The 6,000-nt window shown below is 36.0% G+C and overlaps 1 long non-coding RNA gene across 3 annotated transcripts in view; it reads right to left on the bottom strand.

The window, feature by feature from the left end:
* Positions 1-1,813: 1,813 nt before the first annotated feature.
* Positions 1,814-6,000, bottom strand: part of LOC101928387 (uncharacterized) — a 120,046-nt gene continuing 115,859 nt past the window's right edge. For 2 of the 3 annotated variants that reach the window (XR_001749036.2, XR_001749035.2), the window contains one exon: positions 2,818-3,764. This is a non-coding gene — a long non-coding RNA (uncharacterized LOC101928387). Of the gene's footprint in view, positions 1,898-2,150; positions 3,765-6,000 lie in introns of those variants that run through there. The other variant, XR_007063236.1, reaches the window with a different exon arrangement.

Genomic DNA, 6,000 nt, shown 5'->3' with positions numbered 1-6,000 from the left:
TCCCAAGTAGCTAGGACTACAGACACATGCTACCATACTCGGCTAATTTTTGTATTTTTTGTAGAGATGGGGTTTCACCATGTTGAACTCCTAGGCCCAAGTAATCTGCCCGCCTCAGCCTCCCAAGGTGCTGGTATTACAGGCATGAGCCACCACACCTGACTGTATAATTATTATATATCAATTAAATTTGTTTAAAAAAATAGGGCTTCTGGAATAAATCATAAAAGAATATTTTAATAAAATTTATAAAAAACAAAAAATATAAAATTTATTAAACAGATTTATTAAACAGAATTTAAAAGGGACTAACCATAAAATAAACAAAAATTGATCAATTATATTATGTTAAAATTAATAACGTCTGTTCATCAAAGACATCACTAAGAAGTAAAAAGTTAAGCCCCAGAGTGGAAGATGTTTCCATACATCTTACTGACAAAAGGCTCCGATTCAGAATACAAGAGAACTCCTAAAATCAATAAGAAAAATACAGACAATCCAATAGAAAAACTGGCCAAGAAACTTGAACAGACACTTTGCAAAAGAGGATATCCAAAGGGCCAGTAAACATATCTAAAGGCACTCAGCTTCTTCAGCTGAAACAAGAATGAGACACCACGACCATCTGCCATTAAGGGTAAAAATAAAAATGACAGTACCAAGAGTTGACAAGGATGAAAAGCAGGTGGAATTCACATAAAACTTCTTGGGAAAAACTATTCAGCAGTTTCCACTAGAAATGATTACCATATGCTCCAGCAGTTCCACTCCTTGGTATATATACACACAGACACACACACACGCACACACACAAATGTGTCTCTATCTTCCCTAAAAAACATATATAAGAATGTTTATAGGAACATTGTTAATATTAATGAAAAATTGTGGACTTTTCATACAACAGAATAGTTAGTACTATAGAGCAGTGAGGATGACACCGATTTGCTACATGCAACACCAGGAATAAATCTTACAAACATAATGTTCAGCTAACAGAGACAGACCCAAAAAGTATATCCTCTTTGGTTACATTTATATAAATTCCAGAATCAGGCAAAACTATTCCACAGTTTAGAAGTCAAGATGGGCCCAGCACAGTGGCTCACGCTTGTAATCCCAGCACTTTGGGAGGCCGAGGTGGGCGGATCATCTGAGGTCAGGAGTTTGAGACCAGCCTGACCAACATGGTGAAACCCATCTCTACTAAAAATACAAAATTAGCTGGGCATGGTGGCACACACCTGTAATCCCAGCTACTCAGGAGTCTGAGGCAGAAGAATTGCTTGAACCCAGGAGGTGGAGGTTGCAGTGAGCCGAGATCACACCATTGCACGCCAGCCTGGGCAACAGAGCAAAACTCCATCTTAAAAAAAAAAAAAAGTCAAGGTGGTGGTTACATTTGGGGCTGTAAAGACTGGATGGTTATACCAGAATGGACTTTGGGCTTCTAATCATAGTGTATTTATTTTTCAGGGTATTAGTAACTTCCTTTGTGGAAATTGATAAAACTATGACCTGTGGTCTGTACACTTTTCTGTATATTTGTTATACTTCAATAAACGTGTATTTTTCCTCAAACATCCAAAGCATTTCACAAGAGAGAAACACTGATTTCTCTTCGCCTAAAACAAATGCGGGATCTCAAGAACCCCTAGCTCAGGTATGAAGCCAACTAAACCTTCACTCTCACAAATGACAGATGTCTCCAGCTGCAATTTTCGAAGGCTGATATATTTCCAAGGTTCAACCGCTCCACTTATGAGGATTTTTCCATACATGGTTCTGATGCTGATAAGATCAGACTTTGTTGGATTTCAGAAATTTATTTTCCATTTCTTAATTGCAATGGCAGCCATAAAACAATTGCAGAAAGACGATTTGCCATCCAAATCTTTAAAAAAAAAAAAAGGAAAGGAAAGAAAGAACAAAGAAAAAAACAACTTAAATGCTAATCCATCTGCATTAGTTGATCCCAGCATCCTCATTTTAAATTCCCATTGAATCTTATTGTATAATTTTAGTGTTTTGCAAAGAAACAAGTTTTTATGATTTCCTACAGGTTGGAATCATAGATATTTATCCCTTTATTCTTGATATTTCATTTTCAACATCAAAAACAGCGTTAATTCAGCTTCACATTTTACCAAATGTTATGTCGATGTTCCAAAACCGCCTGGCCCCAACTTTAATTCCTTCCCACTTTTGATTAGTCTATTCCATGAGAACCACAGCAACTGAAATTGCCTCAGAAGAAAAGAGAAAGAATTAGAGTTTAGTTACTGACTTTTCGAAAGTTCATGGAAATGAATATATAAACCAATCAGGTGATAAATAATTGCTGGTACAAAATGAGCAGTGCAAATGACTTCCTATTGAGATTTTTAAACTTTCTCTATGACTAAGCTATGGTAAAGAGCAGTGTCTACCAATTATAATTTCTAATAAAGAATCTGGCCTAAAAGGTTTTTTCATTACTTTTATTGAGCTATCTAGACTTCTCTCTATTTTTTACAATTGGTACAATTAATCTATAAGAGCAAATTTTAGTCATCTTCCTTTAAAGACTATGTCATTCTGATACTAATTTTATCTTATATCAAGATAAAAACCTACATAAGGAGAACAAAAACTAATAAGTCACAACTTGTACTTTCATTCAGAAAAATTGAAAAGAACATTTCTTATTTAAAGTAGTGGTAAATAGTTAGATTTTCTTCCACTACTAAAAGTCTTTACCAATAAAAATGTGCATACCTGTAATATATTCAGAATGCAGTGAAATCATAAAATCATAGATAAATAAAAAATATATTTACCTGCCAATATCTGTTTTTATTACTGACAATTGGGTAGGAAAACAATTTTGCAAGTCTGACCATTCCTTTAGAAATCACAATGACCCTAAAGTAATATTTTTCTTCCTCTAAGTGTTAGTAATTTCCATGGCAACTCTCCATCTGCTTTTCACTATTTTCACAGACTTTTTAAATTAAGCTTACATATGTCAATGTTCCAAGATTATCTTTGTGTTTGCATAAACCATATGGCTCTTTGACAAAGTTCATTATGCCATAACATTAGAGAAATATTTAAATGTCACATCTGTTATGTAAAAAAAAGAAAACTGATGTAAAATAGAAGTGAAGTTGGGATGGGAAGTACTATTTCTACAAATTCATTTGTAATCAATTTTTAAGCCAATGACTACAGGCTTCTCCTTAGTTTCTAAATCAGAAAAATGATTTAGATTCCAAGGAGAAAGTATCCTATACAGAATATTCTTAAGTTTATCCAATACTTAAAATGTATAGGAAATATCCAAGCTTCCCAATATAACCAGATATTAGCAGTCTCCATCACATGAATTACACAAGTTTTACTAAGGATTATATAAAAGGGTAAGGTCTCCTTTACACTATAGTTTCAATGTTTGCTCCTCCAAAACTCATGTTGAAATTTAATTGCTATTATAACAGCTTTAATGATGTGGGACCATTCAAAGGTGTTTAGGCCAGGAGAGTTCCACCGTCATGGGTGGAATTGGTGCCATTATAAAAGGGCAAGTTCAGCCCCCTCTTGCTCTCTCTCATCCTCTCACCTTCTGCCATGAAATGATGTAGCAAGAAGACCCTCGCAAACAGCCAGCATCTTGATATTGTACTTCCCAGCCTCCAGAACTCTGAGCCGATAAATATCTGTTCATTTTAAATTGTCAAGTCTCATGTATTCTATTATAGCAGCACAATGGACCAAGACACCTTTAAAAAAAAAAAAAAAAACTTACTAAAAGCCAGATGGGAGCTATGTGTCACACAAGTTTGGAACTTCTTTTCCCACTACCAAATCCTTGTCATAATGTTAATAGAGAATGGCTTCAAAAATAATTAGGACCATGAGAAGTGTCCTGTTTTGAAAAAAATTAAACTTTCATCCAAGATTTATTATTTATTCTTCAGTCATATGTGACTGAAATCTGCCACAAGATCTTACAGAGAAGAAAAACCAACAGAACCCTTAATCTTTAACTATTGAGACTTTGGTACTAAGAAAGGCAATTATTTTAATGGCTACATTTCCTACCAAAAAAAAACCATTAATTTTAAGAAGACTTTCTTAAAGATGCAAAAAAATAATCTTATATGGCATTGTCCAATGGATTATTTTCTTCTTTTTTAAGTAGGTAGATCAGTCTTGCATATAGAGAAGGCACATGTTCGATGACTTCTTTAGAAGAGTTGAGAAGAATGTCACTGTTACAGCCTTATCTACCACTCTAACTTGCTCTTGAGCCCCAAATCTCTACTGTCTGCTTTTATCCGTTTAGGTCATTGAAATTCCCTGAAGAAATACTCACATCTGAGAAAGACAAACCATGACATGTCAGCTCAGTTTATTTGCATTTCCCTAGCAAAGAATAGTGTGCTGAGAAAATAGAATAAGTATGTTTCCATAAGATAGGATGCAAGTAGCCGGGTGCAGTGGCTCATGCTTATAAGCCCAGCCCTTTGAGAGGCCAAGGCAGGCAGATCGCGAGGTCAGGGGTTCAAGACCAGCATGGCCCATATGGTGAAACCCTGTCTCTACTAAAAAAAATACAAAAATTATCCGGGCGTGGTGGCGGGCGCCTGTAGTCCCAGCTACTCGGAAGACTGAGGCAGAAGAATCGCTTGAACCCAGGAGGCGGAGGTTTCAGTGAGCCAAGATTGTGCCACTGCACTCCAACCTGGGTGACAGAGCGAGACTTGGTCTCAAAAAAAAAGAGATAGGATGTTAGTGTCCCCACTGGAGCTCTACCTAGCAAGACCAGACTGGAGTAATCACCTACAGAAAAAGACCTTTTAAAAGTTGGGCAGGGAGAGTGTCATGAGCACATTAATTATCTGGAGCAGGCCCAAACATGAAATGACAAAGTAAGTCAAGTTTAACTTCTTTGAATTTGTTCATTGTTAGGCATGCCTTAATGCAGTGATGTTTAACTTTGTTTGTATGGCAGATTCCTTCCAGAATGTGATAGAGAGCTAAGTTTCCCACAGAATTTTCCCTTAAGGCATGGCTATAATTCATGTGATAGTATGTGACAGGATTTCCTTCTTTGTATGGATAAGTAATATTCCATTGTATGCATGTATCAAATTTTCTTTATTCAGTCATCAATCAATAGACATTAAGGTGCTTTCCACCTTTTGACTGTTGCAAGTAATGCTGCAATGAACATGGGAGTTCAAATATCTCTTCCAAATCCTGATTTCAGTTCTTTTGGATAAACACCCAGAAATGGGAATGCTGGATGGTAGTTCTGTTTTTTAATTTTTTGAAGAACCTCCATACTGTTTTCCACAAAAGTGGACATCATGCTACCTGAAATCAGCCAGTCACAGAAGGACAAGACTGCATGATTTCATTTATATGAGGTTTTTAAAGTAGTCGGACTCACAGAAACAAAAAGTAGAATGATGGTTGCAAAAGGTGGAGGGAGGTGGAAGTAGGGAGTTGCTGTTCAATGGGTGTAAAGTTTCAGTTGTACAAGATGAAAAAGTTCTAAATATCTGCTGTACGACATTATGCTTATAGTTAAAATTTTGTTAAGAGGGTAGATGTCATGTTATAAGTATTTTACCACAATAAAGTAGCTGTAATATTTGCATTAACTTTATGGAGTTCAAGGTCTTTCTGATGTACCAGATTAAGAGTCCTTGATCTGGAGGATCCCTAGAACCCAAGGAGGTTCTCTGTCCCATGATGACTGAGGCAGACAGGACGTACCTGAGGAGACAGGACCTCTCCAGAAAGTCAGAATGGTGACACTAACCCTCCATTGTAATCAGCAGGATCTCTTACCTGCTACAATTCAGAATAGCTATTGCTATTACATTTTTTTATTTAAAAAAATTAGAGTATTTGTAATCTTGTCAATTACCAATTCCCATTCGTCATTCTATGTCATGGTAAAGAAGGTATCTGTATCAGCTGTTTAGAATTATCTAAAGCAACTGT

The sequence above is a fragment of the Homo sapiens genome, chromosome 12 (assembly GCF_000001405.40).
Source record: "Homo sapiens chromosome 12, GRCh38.p14 Primary Assembly".
Classification (NCBI taxonomy): domain Eukaryota; kingdom Metazoa; phylum Chordata; class Mammalia; order Primates; family Hominidae; genus Homo; species Homo sapiens.
The sequence above is the reverse complement of the archived record's forward strand: the minus strand, read 5'-3'. Positions and strand labels throughout refer to the sequence as shown.